Source organism: Homo sapiens, chromosome 11 (assembly GCF_000001405.40).
Source record: "Homo sapiens chromosome 11, GRCh38.p14 Primary Assembly".
In the NCBI taxonomy this organism is placed as follows: domain Eukaryota; kingdom Metazoa; phylum Chordata; class Mammalia; order Primates; family Hominidae; genus Homo; species Homo sapiens.
In genome coordinates, this window is record NC_000011.10 from 94,245,472 (window position 1) to 94,265,832 (window position 20,361).

The 20,361-nt window shown below is 37.9% G+C and overlaps 1 long non-coding RNA gene across 2 annotated transcripts in view, besides 1 other annotated feature; it reads left to right on the forward strand.

Moving 5' to 3' along the window:
• Positions 1–20,361, forward strand: part of LOC105369435 (uncharacterized) — an 84,813-nt gene that overhangs the window by 48,063 nt on the left and 16,389 nt on the right. The window lies entirely within an intron of this gene.
• Positions 16,699–17,200: an enhancer, noted in NCBI's record as "NANOG hESC enhancer chr11:93995336-93995837 (GRCh37/hg19 assembly coordinates)". NCBI's record gives its function as "activates a minimal SCP1, AML or CMV promoter by ChIP-STARR-seq in primed H9 embryonic stem cells {active_cell/tissue: H9 hESC(primed)}" and the evidence as "EXISTENCE:reporter gene assay evidence [ECO:0000049][PMID:30033119]".

Here is a 20,361-nt window from a genome sequence, read left to right on the forward strand (position 1 = left end):
TAGGGTAAACAGACTCAGCCCCAGGAGCCAGGCTAGGTATGACCAAGTATAGCATCCAGGCAGCTCAGAGCCACCATGACCATCCATACCTATTGAAACAAAAGTAATGTTCTGCCTATTCTTCAAGATCCCATCAGTTAACAAGGGAACCTTAAGAGTCAGTCATTTTCATCAGCCATCAGCATCTATGAAAATACGTATTTTTTTACTCCAAGCCAGAAAATATGATGTTTGCACAACTGCAGAGCAGTGGCCTGGGAATCAAACGTGAATGTCATATGTAACCTAATAAACAAAGTTTGTATGTATATTTGTAACAAAACAAAGTTATGTATTCCCCTCTCCCTTGCACCAGGGAGGTAAGGAGGTGGAATTGTGAGTTTTTAATCAAGCAAGCAAATGAGAAATAAATAGAATATGGCAATGGTGCCTATTAATCACCCTAAAATTTCCACGGGGATGGGCCCAGCCAGAAGCTTTCATTTCTATGGAAACCACAAAGGCAGTTTGGACAAAAGAAAATGAAACCAGGGCAAGGAAGGGCTGGGTAAGGCTAAATTCTAAGATTGGTCTGATGAAAGGCTTAGGAGTTTTCAAAGCTTGGGCAAAGCCTTGTGTCATCCAGCACTGGCAAAGGCATCTCAGCCTGGGCATGGGTGAGTAGCCTAGATGTCCCAACTTATTTAGGCCTGAGGACTGCTAAGGAAACCCAGGGAGGCTTGTATGAGTAGTATACAGTGAAAGCACAGTAGGAGAAAAGAAAAAATGGCAGGGAAGAATGTGCACCCAATTACGGGTATCAGGAAGTAGTTTCTGACACCCATAATTGGGATGGCACCCCTCCTTTGCAGTCCCAAGGGTGCCCTGCACTTGTCTCCATGGTAACACAGACAACTTTATAGTAACAGCCTGCTTACTTGTCTCCACCACCAGATTCCTTATTAAGAATAGGGTGTACAGAATTCATTATTGTATTAACCGAACCTAGCTCAGGGCTCAGCCTCTAAAACAACTACAGTCATGCTTGATGATGGGAACGTGTTCTGAGAAATGCATTGTTGGGTGGCTTTGTCATTATGTGAACATCATAGTGTGCACTTACCAAACCTAGATGGTATAGCCTACTATTAGGTTGGTGCAAAAGTAATTTCGGTTTTTGCCATTAAAAGTAATGTATTCCTAGGATATATGGGATAGCCTATTGCTCCTAGGCTACAAATCTGTACAGCATGTCACTGTACTGAATACTGTAGGCAAGCATAACACAATGGTAAATATTTGTGTATCTAAACGCATCTAAACATAAAAAATACAGTATAAAAGATTAAAAATGGCATAGCTGTGTCTATAAAATGCTTACCATGAATGAAGCTTGCATGACTAGGTGTTGCTCTGAGTGGGTCAGTGAGTGAGTGGTGAGTGAATGTGAAGGCCAAGACATTACTGTACACTACTGCAGACTTTATAAACATGGTACACTTAGGCTACACTAAATTTATTTTTAAAAATTTCTTTCTTTAATAACATATTAACCTTAACTTACTGTAACTTCATTACAAACTTCTAAATTTAAGTTTTAAACATTTTGGCTTTTTTATAATAACACTAGCTTAAAATAAAACACATAGTATAGCTGTACAAAAATATTTTCTTTCTGGCCGAGCACAGTGGCTCATGCCTGTAATCCCAACAATTTGGGAGGCTGAGGTGTGTGGATCAATTTGAGGCAGGAGTTCAAGACCAGCCTGGCTAACATGGTAAAACCCCATCTCTATTAAAAATACAGAAAACTAGCCGCGTGTCGTGGCACACGTGTGTAATCCCAGCTACTTGAGAGGCTGAGGTTCAAGAATTGCTTGATCCTGGGAGGTGGAGGTTGCAGCGAACCAAGATTGAGCCACTGCACTCCAGCCTGGGCAACAGAGCAAGACTGTCTCAAAAAATTTTTTTTCTTTCTTTATTTCCTTATTCTATAAGCTGTTTTCTATTTCAAGTTTTTTGCTTGTTTGTTTTTATTTTTTAAACTTCTTTGTTAAAAACTAGCCCACAGGCTGGGCACAGTGGCTCACGCCTGTAATCTCAACACTGTGGGAGGCCGAGGCAGGTGGATCACGATGTCAAGAGATCGAGACTATCCTGGCTAACACGGCGAAACCCCATCTGTACTAAGCATACAAAACATTAGCCAGGCGTGGTGGTGGGTGCCTGTAATCTCAGCTACTCAGGAGGCTGAGGCAGGAGAATGGCATGAACCCGGGAGGCAGAGGTTGCAGTGAGCTGAGATCATGCCACTGCACTCCAGCCTGGGCGAAAGAGCGAGACTCCATCAAAAAAAAAAAAAAAAAAAAAAACCTAGCCCACAAACACACACATTAGCTTAGGCCTACACGTCACTGTCATCCACCTCCACATCTTGTCCCACTGGAAGTTCTTCAGAGGCAGTAACATGCATGGGGCTGTCATCTCTTATGATAACAATGCCTTCTTCTGAAATGTTCCCTGAAGGACCTGCCTGAGGTTGTTTTACAGTTAACTTTTTAAATATATACAAGTAGAAGGAGTATACTCTAAAATCACAATTAAAAGTTAATACAGAAACCACTAAGAGGAGGTTCCAAGATGGCCAAATAGGAATAGCTCCAGTCTGCAGCTCCCAGCATGAGCGACGCAGAAGACAGGTGATTTCTGCATTTCCAACTGAGGTACTGGATTCATCTCGCTGGGGCTTGTCAGACAGTGGGTGCAGCCCACGTAGCAGGGTGGGGCATCACCTCACCTGGGAAGCACAAGAGGTCAGGGAATTCCCTTTCCTAGCAAAGAGAAGCCATGACAGACAGTACCTGGAAAATTGGTACACTCCCACCCTAATACTGTGCTTTTCCAGTGGTCTTAGCAAACGGCACACCAGGAGATTATATCCCACGCTTGGCTCGGAGTGTCCCACACCCACGGAGCCTTGCTCACTGCTAGCACAGCAGTCTGAAATCAAACTGCAAGGCAGCAGCGTGGCTGGGGGAGGGGCATCCACCATTGCTGAGGCTTGAGTAGGCAAACAAAGTGGCCAGGAAGCTTGAACTGGGTGGAGCCCACGGCAGCAGAGGAGGCCTGCCTGCCTCTGTAGACTCCACCTCTGGGGGCAGGGCATAGCTGAACAAAAGGCAGCAGAAACTTCTGCAGACTTAAACATCCCTGTCTACAGCTCTGAAGAGAGTAGTGGTTCTCCCAGCACAGAGTTTGAGATCTGAGAACCGATAGACTGCCTCCTCAAGTGGGTGCCTGACCCCCGAGTAGCCTAACTGGGAGACACCTCCCAGTAGGGGCTGACTGACACCTCACACAGCCGGGTGCCCCTCTGAGACGAAGCTTTCAGAGGAAGGCTCAGGCAGCAACATTTGCCATTCTGGAATATTTGCTGTTCTGCAGCCTCTGCTAGTGATACACAGGCAAACAGGGTCTGGAGTGGACCTCCAGCAAACACCAAGACACCTGCAGCTGAGGGTCCTGACTGTTAGAAGGAAAACTAACAAACAGAAAGGACATCCACACCAAAACCCCATCTGTACGTCACCATCATCAAAGACCAAAGATAGATAAAAGCACAAAGATGGGGAGAAACCGGAGCAGAAAACCTGAAAATTCTAAAAATCAGAGCGCCTCTCCTCCTCCAAAGGAACGCAACTCCTCGCCAGCAATGGAACAAAGCTGGACGGAGAATGACTTTGACGAGTTGAGAGAAGAAGCCTTGAGACAATAAATAATAACAAACTTCTCCGAGCTAAAGGAGGATGTTCAAACCCATCGCAAAGAAGCTAAAAACCTTGAAAAAAGATTAGACGAATGGCTAACTAGAATAAACAGTGTAGAGAAGTCCTTAAATGACCTGATGGAGCTGAAAACCATGGCAGGAGAACTACGTGATGCATGCACAAGCTTCAGTAGCCAATTTGATCAACTGGAAGGAAGGGTATCAGCGATTGAAGATCAGATGAATGAAGTGAAGGGAGAAGAGAAGTTTAGAGAAAAAAGAAGCAAATAAAGCCTCCAAAAAATATGGGACTGTGTGAAAAGACCAAACCTACGTCTGACTGGTGTACCTGAAAGTGACAGGGAGAATGGAACCAAGCTAGAAAACACTCTTCAGGATATTATCCAGGAGAACTTCCCCAACCTAGCGAGGCAGGCCAACATTCAAATTCAGGAAACACAGAGAACGCCACAAAGACACTCCTCAAGAAGAGCAACTCCAAGACACATCATTGTCAGATTCACCAAAGTTGAAATGAAGGAAAAAAATGTTAAGGGCAGCCAGAGAGAAAGGTTGGATTACCCACAAAGGGAAGCACATCAGACTGACAGCTGATTTCTCGGCAGAAACTCTACAAGTCAGAAGAGAGTGGGGGCCAATATTCAACATTCTTAAAGGAAAGAATTTTCAACCCAGAAATTAATATCCAGCCAAACTAAGCTTCATAAGTGAAAGAGAAATAAAATCCTTTACAGACAAGCAAATGCTGAGAGATTTTGTCACCACCAGGCCTGCCCTAAAAGAGCTCCTGAAGGAAGCACTAAACATGGAAAGGAACAACCAGTACCAGCCAATGCAAAAACATGCCAAATTGTAAAGACCATCGAGGCTAGGAAGAAACTACATCAACTAATGAGCAAAATAACTGGCTAACATCATAATGACTGCATCAAATTCACACATAACAATATTAACCTTAAATGTAAATGGGCTAAATGCTCCAATTAAAAGACACAGACTGGCAAATTGGATAAAGAGTCAAGACCCATCAGTGTGCTGTATTCAGGAGACCCATCTCACGTGCAGACACACACACAGGCTCAAAATAAAGGGATGGAGGAAGATCTACCAAGCAAATGGAAAACAAAAAAAGGCAGGAGTTACAATCCTAGTCTCTGATAAAACAGACTTTAAACCAACAAAGATCAAAAGAGACAAAGAAGGCCATTACATAATGGTAAATGGATCAATTCAACAAGAAGAGCTAACTATCCTAAATATATATGCACCCAATACAGGAGCACCCAGATTCAATAAGTCCTTAAAGACCTACAAAGAGACTTAGACTCCCACACAATAATAATGGGAGACTTTAACACCACACTGTCAACATTAGACAGATCAACGAGACAGAAAGTTAACAAGGATACCCAGGAATTGAACTCAGCTCTGCACCAAGCAGACCTAATAGACATCTACAGAACTCTCCACCCCAAATCAACAGAATATACATTCTTCTCAGCACCACATCACACTTATTCCAAAACTGACCACATAGTTGGAAGTAAAGCACTCCTCAGCAAATGTAAAAAAGAACAGAAATTATAACAAACTGTCTCTCAGACCACAGTGCAATCAAACTAGAACTCAGGATTAAGAATCTCACTCAAAACCGCTCAACTACATGGAAACTGAACAACCTGCTCCTGAATGACTACTGGGTACATAACGAAATGAAGGCAGAAATAAAGATGTTCTTTGAAACCAATGAGAACAAAGACACAACATACCAGAATCTCTGGGACACATTTAAAGCAGTGTGTAGAGGGAAATTTATAGCACTAAATGCCCACAAGGGAAAGCAAGAAAGATCTGAAATTGACACCCTAACATCACAATTAAAACAACTAGAGAAGCAAGAGCAAACACATTCCAAAGCTAGCTGAAGGCAAGAAATAACTAAGATCAGAGCAGAACTGATGGAGATAGAGACATAAAAAACCCTTCAAAAAAGCAATGAATCCAGGAGCTGGTTTTTTGAAAAGATCAACAAAATTGACAGACCGCTAGCAAGACTAATAAAGAAGAAAAGAGAGAAGAATCAAATAGACACAATAAAAAATGATAAAGGGGATATCACCACCAGTCCCACAGAAATACAAACTACCATCAGATACTATAAACACCTCTACACAAATAAACTAGAAAATCTAGAAGAAATGGATAAATTCCTCAACACATACACCCTCCCCAGACTAAACCAGGAAGAAATTGAATCCCTGAATAGACCAATAACAGGTTCTGAAATTGAGGCAGGAATTAATAGCCTACCAACCAAAAAGAGTCCAGAACGAGATGGATTCACTGCCAAATTCTACCAGAGGTACAAAGAGGAGCTGGTACCATTCCTTCTGAAACTATTCCAATCAATGGAAAAAGAGGGAATCCTCCCTAATTCATTTTATGAGGCCAACATTATCCTGACACCAAAGCCTGGCAGAGACACAACAAAAAAAGAGAATTTTAGACCCATATCCCTGATGAACATCAAAGCAAAAATCCTCAATAAAATACTAGCAAACCAAATCCAGTAGCACATCAAAATGCTTATCCACCACAATTAAGTTGGCTTCATCCCAGGGATGCAAGGCTGGTTCAACATATGCAAATCAATAAACGTAATCCAACATATAAACAGAACCAAAGACAAAAACCACATGATTATCTCAATAGATGCAGAAAAGGCCTTTGACAAAATTCAACATCCCTTCATGCTAAAACTCTCAATAAACTACGTATTGATGAGACATATCTCAAAATAATAAGAGCTATCTATGACAAACCCACAGCCAATATCATACTCAATGGGCAAAAACTGGAAGCATTCCCTTTGAAAACTGGCACAAGACAGGGATGTCCTCTCTCTCCACTTCTACTCAACATAGTGTTGGAAGTTCTGGCCAGGGCACTCAGGCAGGAGGAAATAAAGGGTATTCAATTAGGAAAAGAAGAAGTCAAATGGTCCTGTTTGCAGATCACATGATTGTATATCTAGAACACCCCATCGTCTCAGCCCCAAATCTCCTTAAGCTGATAAGCAACTTCAGCAAAGTCTCAGAATACAAAATCAATGTGCAAACATCATAAGCATTCCTATACACCAATAACAGACAAACAGAGAGCCAAATCATGAGTGAACTCCCATTCACAATTGCTTCAAAGAGAATAAAATACCTAGGAATCCAACTTACAAGGGATGTGAAGGACCTCTTCAACGAAATAAAAGAGGACACAAACAAATGGAAGAATATTCCATGCTCATGGATAGGAAGAATCAATATCGTGAAAATGGTCATACTGCCCAAGGTAATTTATAGATTCAATGCCATCCCCATCAACCTACCAAAGACTTTCTTCACAGAATTGGAAAAAACTACTTTAAAGTTCATATGGAACCAAAAAAGAGCGCATATTGCCAAGACAATCCTAAGTGAAAAGAACAAAGCTGGAGGCATCACACTACCTGACTTCAAACTACACTACAAGGCTACAGTAACCAAAACAGCATAGTACTGGTAACCAAAACAGTACCAAAACAGCTGTTTTGGTACAGTAACCAAAACAGCATGGTACTGTTCCATAAACCAATGGAACAGAATAGAGCCCTAGGAAATAATACCACACATCTACAACCATCTGATCTTTGACAAACCTGACAAAAACAAGAAATGGGGAAAGGATTCCCTATTTAATAAATGGTGCTGGGAAAACTGGCTAGCCATATGTAGAAAGCTGAAACTGGATCCCTTGCTTACACCTTATACAAAAATTAATTCGAGATGGATTAAAGACTTAAATGTTAGACCTAAAACCATAAAAACCCTAGAAGAAAACCTAGGCAATACCATTCAGGCCATAGGCATGGGCAGGGACTTCATGACTAAAACACCAAAAGCAATGGCAACAAAAGCCAAAATTGACAAATGGGATCTAATTAAACTCAAGAGCTTCTGCACAGCAAAAGAAACTACCATCAGAGTGAACAGGCAATCTACAGAATGGGAGAAAATTTTTACAATCTACCCATCTGACAAAGGGCTAATATCCAGAGTCTACAAAGAACTTAAACAAATTTGCAAGAAAAAATCAAACAGCCCCATCAACAAGTGGGCAAAAGATATGAACAGACACTTCTCAAAAGAAGACATTTATGCAGCCAACAGACACATGAGAAAATGCTCATGATCAGTGGTCATCAGAGAAATGCAAATCAAAACCACAATGAGATACTGTCTCATGCCAGTTAGAATGATGATTATTAAAAAGTCAGGAAACAACAGGTGCTGGAGAGGATGTGGAGAAATAGGAACGCTTTTACACTGTTGGTGGGACTGTAAACTAGTTCGACCATTGTGGTAGACAGTGTGGCAATTCCTCAAGGATCTAGAACTAGAAACACCATTAGACCCAGCAATCCCATTAGTGGGCATATACCCAAAGGATTAAAATCATGCTGCTATAAAGACATGCACACGTATGTTTATTGTGGCACTATTCACAATAGCAAAGACTTGAAACCAACTGAAATGTCCATTAATGATAGACTGGATTAAGAAAATGTGGCACATATACACCATGGAATACTATGCAGCCATAAAAAAGGATGAGTTCATGTCCTTTGTAGGGACATGGATGAAGCTGGAAACTATCATTCTCAGCAAACTATAGCAAGGACAGAAAACCAAACACTGCCTGTTCTCACTCATAGGTGGGAATTGAACAGTGAAAACACTTGGACACAGGGTGGGGATCATCACACATCAGGGCCTGTCATAGGGTGGGTGAAGGGGGGAGGGATAGCATTAGGAGACACACCTAATGTAAATGACGAGTTAACGGGTGCAGCACACCAACATGGCACATGTATACATATGTAACAAACCTGCACATTGTGCACATGTACCTTAGAACTTAAAGTATAATTTAAAAAAAAGAAACCAGTAACATATAGTAAATACATAAAGCAGAAACATAGTCATTTATCAAGTATTATGTGCTGTACATAATTGTATGTGCTATACTTTTATATGAGTGACAGCACAGATTTGTTTACACCAGCATCACCACAAACACGCAAGTAATGGGTTGCACTACAACATTAAGATGACTATGATGTCACTAGGCATCAGGAATTTTTCAGCCTCATTATAATCTTATGGGACTACTGTCATATATGCAGTCCATTATTGACCTAAACATCCTGTGTGACATCATGACTGTACTACAACAGGAATAGCTAACCCTTATATAACAACAAAAACTAATGCATACTGTACTTATAGTGTGTCAGGGACATAAAATGTTTACATATGTTACATTTCTAAATTCTCATTGTTAATATTATACATATTTTATGGATGAGGAAACTGAGGCGGAGAGAATTCAAGATGTTTGCCCAAGACCACATTGCTAATAAGTGGCAGAGCTAAATATATAATTAAATTACTGTAATTTAATTTAATTACAGTGAATTACCCTAGCAGTACCCTACTGCCCTATCTATATTCCCCCCACACCCCCCAACACACAAGGTCCAGAAGTCCCTCCCCTACTACCTTCTCCACTGAAGGGTACAATTGATCAGAAACATTATGTCCAGCTCCCCACTCTCCTGTCTCTCCATCTCCTCAAAGGCCCACTAAAACTTCTGCATTAAAAATGAAATCAGATATACAGAACAACTTCACAAGGAAGACAGGTTAGCAAAGCCATGATTTTAATTTCCTCTGCCACATAGAACCTTTTCTTAGTTAATTCAAAACAATCCAGTCCTTATTGGCATCTTGTATTTTTAAAAATTGATTGTCAGTGCCTCAGGTCCCATCGGCTAAAATGATAAAAGAATTTCCAAATGAGATTCAAATTATTAATGCCTGATAGAAAGGTCCCCTGATGCCTAAGCAGCCTCTCATATTACTTTTCTTGTTAGCCTCTCCCACCAGGAGAAAATACTTTTGAGAATAAATGTTAAAGAATCCAGATAAGTGACAGAAATATTCCACTCATCCATGCCTAACCATCAGCTTCTTCCCCAGCATTCCTTGACATAAAAATTTCTGGATTGGGCTCATCCATATTTTATAAGTCATAAGCCCAAACTACATAAACTCAGAATAGTTTGTTGGTGACTGGCCTGTGTACTTTTCTGGAAGAAAAAAGGTGGCTTACATTTAATGCAGCAGGCTTTCATTGTGAGCCCACTATAAGCCATGAACAGTACCAGGGGCAGGGGCAGAAAAAAGACAGATCAGCAAAGTTATGATTTTAATTTCCTCTGCCACATAGGACCTTGTCTTAATTAATTCAAAACACCTCCCATGTGCTTTGTCCCATGTGCTTTCTATGTGCGTATAACTTAAAGAGATAGATACACCAAAATAATGGTGAAAAAATACGTATTAACAGTAAGGACAAAGCAAAGAAATAATTCTGCTCTGGGAAGTACAGGGAGACAAAGGAGTTTGGGAAATGTTTGTAGCATTAAAATTCCCTGAATTGAGACCTCAAGAGTGAGGATCAGTCCCCTGCAATCATCAAACTGAAAATTTTTTACCAATTGGAGTGGTGAAAATATGTGGTTATTTTAAAGTATATTTCTCTGATTATAAACTAGTGAAGGTCAACATCTTTTCATGTTTACGTGGCCATTTGGTTTTCCTTTGTGAATTCCCCAATTTTCTATTCTATTGAATTTTTAAAAATTATTATTTATTTGAAAGAGTTTGTTAGTAAATGTATTGAAAACAATTACTAGGTCGGTTTTTGAATTTCCTTTTCTTTATAGTGCTCTTTGCCACAGAGGTGTTTCAATTTTTTTTTTTTTTTTTTTTTTCTGAGACAGAGTCTTGCTCTGTAGCCCAGGCTGGAGTGCAGTGACATGATCTCGACTCACTGCAACCTCCGCCTCCTGGGTTCAAGCGATTCTCCTGCCTCAGCCTCCCAAGTAGCTAGGACCACAGGCATGCTCCACCATGCCCAGCTAATTTTTTGTATTTTTAGTAGAGACAGGTTTCACCATGTTAGCCGGGATGGTCTCGATCTCCTGACCTCGTGATCCACCCGCCTCAGCCTCCCAAAGTGCTGGGATTATAGGTGTGAGCCACCGCACCCAGCCCAGGTGTTTCAATTTTAATGTCATCAGATTTAGCAATTCTTTCTTTTATGGTGTATACCTTCTGTGGCTTATCAAAACTCTATCCATACTCTGGTGTGATAAAGATGTTCTCCTATATGTTTTTTTATTACTGCTTCTGAAATTCCATTTTTATTAAGTATAGCAAGACATTATTTGCATAGCTATAAGGTGGAAAATGTTGTCAATTCTACTGCTATTCACTGTCCCTTGCACAAATCCTTAAACCTCTTACTTCTCACTGTCTCTTACTCCCTTAGCTAAATCAAAATCTGGTTAAATAAAAATTTTTGCTTCCATGGTATCTTCACATGCAGAGTTGACGAATGCTGAAGAAAAACTCAATCATGATGACTGGTAACCTCTTAAACCTGAACACTGACTACACGATTCCATAATATTGTCTTACAATTATACCATAGTCTCTTCCTCCATCCACTCTTCTTCTAAAAGACCATTTCTTCTCTCTAATCGAACATTTAACATGGCCTTCCTGGACCTCACTTTTTAAAATATGGTTAAAAAACCAGGTAACATTAAACTTATTATTAACCATTTTTAAATGCACAACTCACTAGCGTTAAGTATAGTTCTATTGTTGGGCAACAAATCTATGGAAGCTCTTCATTTGCAACACTAAAATTGCATACCCACTAAACTCTAATTCCTCCTCTCTCCATCCCTTGGTAACCACCTTTCTACTTTCTGGTTCTATGATTTCGACTACTCTATTTTTTAAAAATTTTGTTTATAATTGACATACAATAATTGTACAGGTTTATGGTGTACAGTGTGATGTTTCAATATATGGATACATTATATAATGGTCAAATTAGGATAGTTAGCATGTCCTTCACCTCATACCGTTATCATTTCTTTGTGGTGATAACTTTCAAGATCCTTTTTCCTAGCTATCTTAAAATATACAATACATTGCTCTTAACTATAGTCATCCTACTATGTAATGGAACACCAAAATTATTCTTCCCATCTGACTATAATTTTGTACTCATTGGCTGAGTTTCCTCTCTTCCCCTTATCCCTCACCTCCTCAGTCTCTGATAACTACTATTCTGCTCTATACTTCTATGAGCTCAACTTTCCTAGATTCCACATATAAGTGAGAGAATGCAGTATTTGTCTTTCTGCACCTGGCTTATTTTACTTAACATTGTGTCCTCCAGGTTCATTGATTTTGCTACAAATGACAGGATTGCATTCCTTTTTATAGCTGAATAGTATTCCATTGTGTACTTATACTACATTTTCTTTATTTGTTTATCTGTTGATGTACACACAGGTTGACTTCATATCTTGGCTACTATGAATAGTGTTTAAATAAACATAGGAATGCAGATATCTTTTTAATATACTTACTTAATTCCTTTGGCTATATACCCAGTAGTTGAATTGGTGGATCTTTTGGTAGTTCCAGGCAAGAACATACTGTTTTTCATAATGGCTGAACTAATCTACACTACCACCAACAGTGTATGAGTTCCCTTTCTTTGCATCCTTACCAGCGTTTGTTAATTTTTGTCTTTTTGATTATAGCCATTCTAACTGGGGTAAGAGGTCAGATCTCATTGTGGTTTTAGTTTGCATTTCTCTGATGATTAGTGATATTGAGCATCTTATTATATACCTGCATGTATTTTTTTGATAAATGTTTATTCAGGTCTTTTGCCCATTTAAAAAATTAGATTATGTGTTTTTGTTTTTTGTTGTTTTTGCTATTGAGTTGAGTTCCTTATATATTGTGGATATTAATTTATTGTCTGGTGCATAGTCTGCAAATATTTTCTCCCATTTTCTAGGTGTCTCTTCACTCTGTTGATTGTTTCCTTTGCTGTGCAGAAGTTATGTGATCCCATCCATCCATTTTAGCCTCGGTTGCCTGTGCTTTTAGGGTATTATTCAAGAAACCTTTGCTCAGACTAATGTCCTGGAGAGTTTCCCAAATGTTTTCTTATGGTAGTTTCATAATTTGGGGTCTAAGATTTAAATCTTTTATTCATTTTTATTTTTGTATATGAGATGGGGTTCTAGTTTCATTCTTCTGCATATGGATATCCAGTTTTCCCATCACCATTTATTGAAGATACTGTCCTTTCCCCCAGTGTATGTTCCTGGCACCTTTGTCAAAAATGAGTTCCCTGTAGATGTGTGGATTTATTTCTGGATTTTCTCTTATATTCCATTGGTCTATGTGTCTGTGTTATGCCCATACCCTGCCATTTTAGTTACTATAGCTTTGTAGTATAATCTGCTTCTGCCAACTTTGTTCTTTTGCTCAGGATAGCTTTAGCTATTCTGGGTCTTTTGTGGTTCCATATAAATTTTAGAATTTTTTTTTCTACTTCTGTGAAGAATGTCATTGCAATTTTGATAGGGATTGCATTGAGTCTGTAGATTGCTTTGGATAGTATGGACATTTTAGTGATATTAATTATTCCAATTCATGAACATGGGATGTATTTCCATTTTTGTGTGTCTCCTTCAATTTCTTTCATCAGTATTTTGTAGTTTCCATTGAAGATGTATTTCACCTCTTTTGTTAAACTTATTTCTAGGTATTTTATTTTTTGTAGCTATTGTAAATAGGATTGCTTTCTTGATTTATTTTTCCTCAAGTTTGTTATTGGCTGATAGACTGCTAATTATTATATGTTGATTTTGTATCCTGTAGCTTTACTGAATTCATTTATTAGTTCTAATAGTCTTTGGTGAAGTCTTTGGGATTTTCTATATATATGATCATTTTCTCTGCAAAAAGAAACAATTTGATTTCCTCCTTCCCAATTTGGATGCCCTTTATTTCTTTCTCTTTTCTAATTGCTCTTCCAAAGACTTCTGGTACTATGTTGAATAACAGTGGTAAAACAGGGCATTCTTATTCCAGATCTTAGAGAAAAAGCTTTCAATTTTTCACCATTCAGTATGATGTTAGCTGTGGGTTTGTCATATATGACCTTTATTGTGTTGAGATATGTTATTTCTATACCTAATTTGTTAGAGTTTTTATCATGAAGCAGTGTTGAACTCTTCTCTGCATCTATTGAAATGGCAATATAATTTGTGTCCTTCATTCTGTTGATATGATGTACCATGTTTATAGATTTGCATATGTTGAACCATTCTTGCATTCCTGGAATGAATCCCACTTGATTATGATGATCTTTTTAATGTGTTGTTGGATTTTGTTTGCTAGTATTTTGTTGAGAATATTTACATCTACGTTCATCAGGAATATTGGCCTGTTGTTTTCCTTTTTGTGGTGGCCTGTCTGGTTTTGATTTCAGGACAGTGCTGGTGCTGTATAATGAGTTTGAAAGTATTTCTTCCTCTTCAATTTTTTAGAAGAGTTTGAGAAGAATAGGTATTAGTTCTTTTTTTTTTTTTTTTTTTTGAGACGGAGTCTCGCTCTGTTGCCCAGGCTGGAGTGCAGTGGCGCGATCTCGGCTTGCTGCAAGCTCCGCCTCCCAGGTTCATGCCATTCTCCTGCCTCAGCCTCCCAAGTAGCTGGGACTACAGGCCTACCACTACGCCTGGCTAATTTTGGTTTTGTATTTTTAGTAGAGATGGGGTTTCACCATGTTAGCCAGGATGGTCTCGATCTCCTGACCTTGTGATCCACCCGCCTCAGCCTCCCAAAGTGCTGGGATTACAGGTGTGAGCCACCACACCCAGCCAGTTCTTCTTTTAAAAGTTTGGTAGAATTCAGCCATGAAGTCATCAGGTCTTGGGCTTTTCTTTGATGAAGGAGTCTTTATTACTGCTCTAATCTTGTTACTCATTATTGGTCCACTCAGGTTTTGTATTTCTTCATGGTTCAAACTTAGAGGTTGTATGTGTCCAGGAATATATCCATATCTTCTAGATTTTTTCAATTTGTTTGTGTATAGTTGTTCATCATAGTCTTATGATCCTTTGCATTTCTGTAGTTTCTGTTGTAATGCCTACTTTTTCACCTCTGATTTTGAGTCTTCTCTCTTTTTTTCTTAGTCTTCCTAAAGGTTTGTTGATTTTTTAATCTTTTCAAAAACCCACTCTTTGTCTTGTTAACCTTTTGTATTGTTCTTTAAATCTCTATTTTATTTCTGCTCTGATCTTTGTTATTTCTTTCTTTCTACTGATCGTTGATTTCATTTATTCATGTTTTTCTAATTCCTTGAAGTGTAACATTAGATTATTTGAGACATTTCTATTTTTTTGATTTAGGTGTTTATTGCTATAAACCTCCCTCTTAGCATTGCTTTTGCTGTGTCCCTTAGGTTTTGGTATGTTGTGTATATTTAATTGGAGAATTTAATCCATTTACATTCAAGTTTATTACTGAAAGGTAAGGGTTTACTACTGCCATTTTGTTACTTGTTTTCTGGTTGTTTTGTAGATCCTTTTTTTCTTTTCTCCTCTCTTATTATCTTCTTTTGTGGTTAAGTGATTTTCCTTTAGTATTATGTTTTGATTTCATGCTATTTATTTTTACTCTATCTATTACAGGGTTTTGATTTATGAGTACCATGAGGCTTATTTTAAAACATCTTATAGTTATAACAGATTATTTTAAACTGATAACTTAACTTTGATCACAAAAAATTAACAAAAATAAACTATGCTTTAACACCATTCCCCCCCACACACAAATTTTGACTTTTTGATATTTTGATTTACATCTTTTTGTATTGCCTATCTCTTTACCAATTGTCATGATTATTATTATTTTCTTTAATAGTTTTGTCTTGTAGTCTTTATACTTAAGATATAAGTAAGTTACATATCACAGTTAAAGTATTATTCTGAATTTTTCTATATTCTTACTTTTACCACTGAGTTTTTTATACCTTCAAATGTTTTCTTTTTGCACATTAGCATTATTTCCTTTCAGCTGCAAGCCATATTGGGGCTTCATTTAATATGATATGTTTCTTTTCTTCTGCTGCTTTCAATTTTCTTTTTTGTCCCAGATTTTTGATAATTTGATTATGATGTGCCTTAAAGAATTTCTTTTTGGATTGAATTTGATTGGTGACCTCTGAGATTCCTGTACTTGGATAATGTCTTTCTTCAAATTTGGGAAATTTTCAGCCATTATTTCTATAAATATGCTGTCTAGGCCTTTTTCTCTATTGTCTCATTCAGGAACTCCTGTTAAGCAAAAGTTGGTTCACTTGGTGGTGTCCCATAATTCTTATGGGCCTTCTTCACTCTTTTTTATTCATTTTCTCTTTGCCTCTCTGATTGGCAATTTCATGTTCTGTCTTCAGGCTCACTGATTCTTTCCTCAGTATGAACCAGTTTGCTGTTAAAACTTTTTAATGTGTTTTAAAATTCAGTTATTGAATTATTTATTTATAGGATTTCTGTTTATAAAAAACAAAATTTTTGTCAATTTTCTTCCTGGATTGTTTTCCATATTTCATTTAGCTTTTTATTCATATTATCTTGTGAGTCCTTGAACTTCTTTAAGAGCAATGTTCTGAATTCTTTGTTAGACACTTCATAGCTCTTCAGTTCTTTTTTGTCTATTACAAGAGCTTTGTTGGTTTCTTTTGGTGGTGTCAGATTTATTTGAGTTTTCACAATTCTTGCATCTTTACACTGATGCCCATGCACTTGAGGAGACAGCCACCACTTCCAGCTTTTGCAGGTGTTCTCTGGTGGTGTTAGACCTTTACTACTTAATATTGGAACTTAATTGCTGACCTGCTATTGCTCCTTATTTTAGGAAGGACTTACAATAAGCACTGGAACTAAAACACTGCATTGGAACTAACTCATTGCTTGCCTGGTCTGGGGAAGACTCCCAGTGAGCACCAGAACTTAAGCACCAGAACTATATCACTGCCCTACCATTGTTTTCTAGTCTTAAGAAGACTTAAATAAGCACCAGAACCTAATTGTTTCCAGGTCAGAAGAAGGCTTCATGAAAGCACCTGGGCTTTGTGGGGAATCTGGCCAGGGATTTCGATCTTCCTGTGGATTGTTTCCCTTATAGTGCTCTGGCAGCAGTCAGTCTCCTCAGCATGGTGTCCCCTTTGATTTAAGCTCAGAGAAGCCACCAAGATTTGCATGCCAGTTGCTGTGATCAGTGCCCCTACTTTTTGTCCCCAATTCACCCCAGGTGGTTCAGCCTTCTTGGTACTCTCAGTGTTTTCTGTGAGATGGAACTGGAGTTGGCTTCCCAAGAAGATTCCCAGACTGGTGGGGATATTAACGTCCACCTCCAGTTTTCTCCTACCACCTCAGAAACCTTGGGTTTAGGAAAATTTTTCGTGAGTGGCGTTGTGCCAGCTTGAGGTAGGGGTTAGTCCAGTCTAAAATGACTGTTCCCCTTACTAGTTGAAGCATTTCTTGATTCTGTGGGTCCAGGTGGCTTTTCCACTCCCCTCCCCAATATATGGTGAATTTAGGGTAGTATTCTTCTCTTTGAGTAGTTTTTAGTTGTACTTTGGTAGGAGAATGATGCTGAAGGAACTTCTACTCTGCCATCTTGCTGGTGTCACTCTCTCGTCTGATTTTGTCTACTATACTTCATATAAGTGAAATCATATAGTGTTTGTTATTTTGTGACTGGCTTCTTTCTCCTAGCATGCCCTAGATATTCACTCATGTTGTAGTATGTGATAGAATTTCCTTCATTTTTTAGGCTGGATAATATTCCATTGTGTATATATACCACATTTTCTTCATCTATGCATTCAGTAGTGGACATTTGGGTTCCTTGCACCTCTTGGCTATTGCAAATAATGCTACAATGAACATGGGTGTGCAAGTATCTCTTTGAGATCCGGCTTTGAATTATTATGGATATATACTAAAAAAATGGGATTGCTGGATCATGTGATAATTCTATTTTCAATTTTTAAGGAACCCCCTTCCTGTTTTTCATAATAGCTGCACCATTTTGCATTCCCATCAACAGTTCACATGGGTTCCAATCTCTCCACGTCTTCACCAAAAGTTGTTATTTTCCGTTCTTTTGATAGCAGCCATCTTGATGGGTTTGAAGTGATATCTCACTGTGTCTTTTATTTGCATTTTCCTAATTATTAGTGATACTGAGCATTTTTTATGTGCTTATTGGTCATTTGTATATCTTCTTTAGAGAAATGTCTATCCAAGTCCTTTGCCATATTTTAATTGGGTTATTTGGCATTTTGTTATCATTATTAAGTTGTAGATGTTCCTTAAATAGTTTGAATATTAACACCTTGTCAGCTATGTGATTTGCAATTATTTTCTTCCATTCTCTCCTTTTCCCACTGGCATTTCACTCTGCTGATTGTTTCCTTTCCCACTGAGAAGTTTAAAGTTTTGCATAATCTCTTTTTAAAAATTTGTTGTCTATGTATGCTTTTGATGTTACATCCAATAAATTATTGCCATATCCAACATCCTGAAAGTTTTTACCTTTTTTCTCCTAGGAGTTTAATAATTTTAAGTATTAAATTTAAATACTTAATCCATTCTTAGTTACATTTTGTATATGATGTAAGGTAAGGATTTGACTTCATTCTTTTGCTTGTGAATATTCAGTTTTTACAACAATATTTGTTGAAGAGACTGTTATTTATCTATTATGTAGTCTTGGCACACTGGTCAAAAATCATTTCGTCATATAGCAGTGGTTTATTTATGAGCTACCTATTCTGCTCCATTTATTTATATATCTATCTTTATCCCAATACCACATTGTCTTAATTACTATTGGCTTTGAGATATGTTTTGAAATAAGGAAGTTTGAAATTTTCAACTTTGTCCTACTTTTTTCAAGTTTGTTTTGGCTATTCAGTATTCCTTGAAATTATGTATGAACAGTAGGATTTTTTTTCTATTTCTGAAAATGCCACTGGGATTTTGAAAGGGATTGCATTGACTCTGTAGATTGTTTTGGGTGGTATGGCTATTTTAACAATATTAAGTCTTCCAGTTCATGAACATAGGATGCTTTCCCATTTACTTATGTCTTCTTTAATTTCCTTCAGCAGCATTTTATAGTTTTCAGTGAACAAGTCTTTCTCCATCCCCTCAGTTAAGTTTATTCCTAAGTATTTCTTTATTTTTGATTTATAGTAAATAGGATTGTTTTCTTGATTTCCTTTTCAGATTGATCATTATTTGTGCATAAAAATGCAACTAATTTTTGAGTGCTGATTTTGTATTCTGCAACTTTACTAAATTTATTAGTTCTACTGTGTGTGTGTGTGTGTGTGTGTACTCTTTAGGGTTTTTTATATATAAGATTATGTCTTCTTTTACAATTTGTATTCCTTTTTTTTTTCTTGTTGAGTTGCTCTACCAGAACATCCAGTACCATGTTGAATAGTAGTGGCAAGAGTGGACTTATTTGTCTTGTTCCTTAACTAGGAGGAAAGCTTTCTCTGTTGAGTATCATGTTTGCTGTGGAATTTTTATATATGACTTTTATTATGTTAAGGTCTTCTTCTTTCCTAAAGAGATAGGGTCCCACTTTGTCATCCAGGCTGGAGTGCAGTGCCATAATAATAGCTCACTGCAGCCTTGAACTCCTGGGCTCAAGTTGTCCTCTTGCCTTAGCCTCCTTAGTAGCTGGGACTACAGGCATGCACCCTGTTGTCTGGCTACTTAAAAACTTTTTTTGGAGAGACAGTATCTCACTGTCTTGCTTAGAATGGTCTTGAACTCCTGGCCTCAAGTGTTCCCCCCACCTTAGCCTCCCAAAGTGCTAGAATTACATGCATGAGACTCCATGACTGTTCCAGAGGTAGATTTTTTTCTATTCCTTGTTGGTTGAGTGTTGTTGTTGTTGTTTTTTTATCATGAAAGGGGTTTGAGTTTTGTTAAATGCTTTCTCTGTATTGATTGAGATGACCATGTAGTTTTTGTCTCTTATTTTGTTAATGAGGTATAGTACATGTATTGATTTTTGTATACTAAACAGTCCTTGCATTCCAGGTATAAATCCACTTCGTCATGGTGTATGATCCTTTCAATGAGCTGTTGAATTCAGTTTGCTAATGTTAGGTTTAGTATTATTGCTTTAATATTCATCAGGAATGCTGGCCTGTAGGGTTTTTCTTTTTTCTTGCTGTGTCTTTGTCTGGTTTTGGCTACTATGTGCTCTTTTAAAATCTTTAAAGTTTTGATTTTCATATTTAGGTTTTTTTGTCTATCTAGTGTTTATTTTGTGGGTATGAGATAGAGATTGATATTATCTTTAGCTAAATGGTGTTACTTATTAAATAATCAAGAAACTCACCTAACACATAAGAACTCAAGTAAACTTAAGGTGAATGGATGAGAAAAGATATTTCATGCAAATGGAAACCAAAAGTGAGCAGGAGTAGCTATTCTTATATCAGACAAAACAGACTTTAAAGCAACAACAATTTTAAAAGACAAAGAGGGACATTATATAATGATGAAAAAATCAGTCCAACAG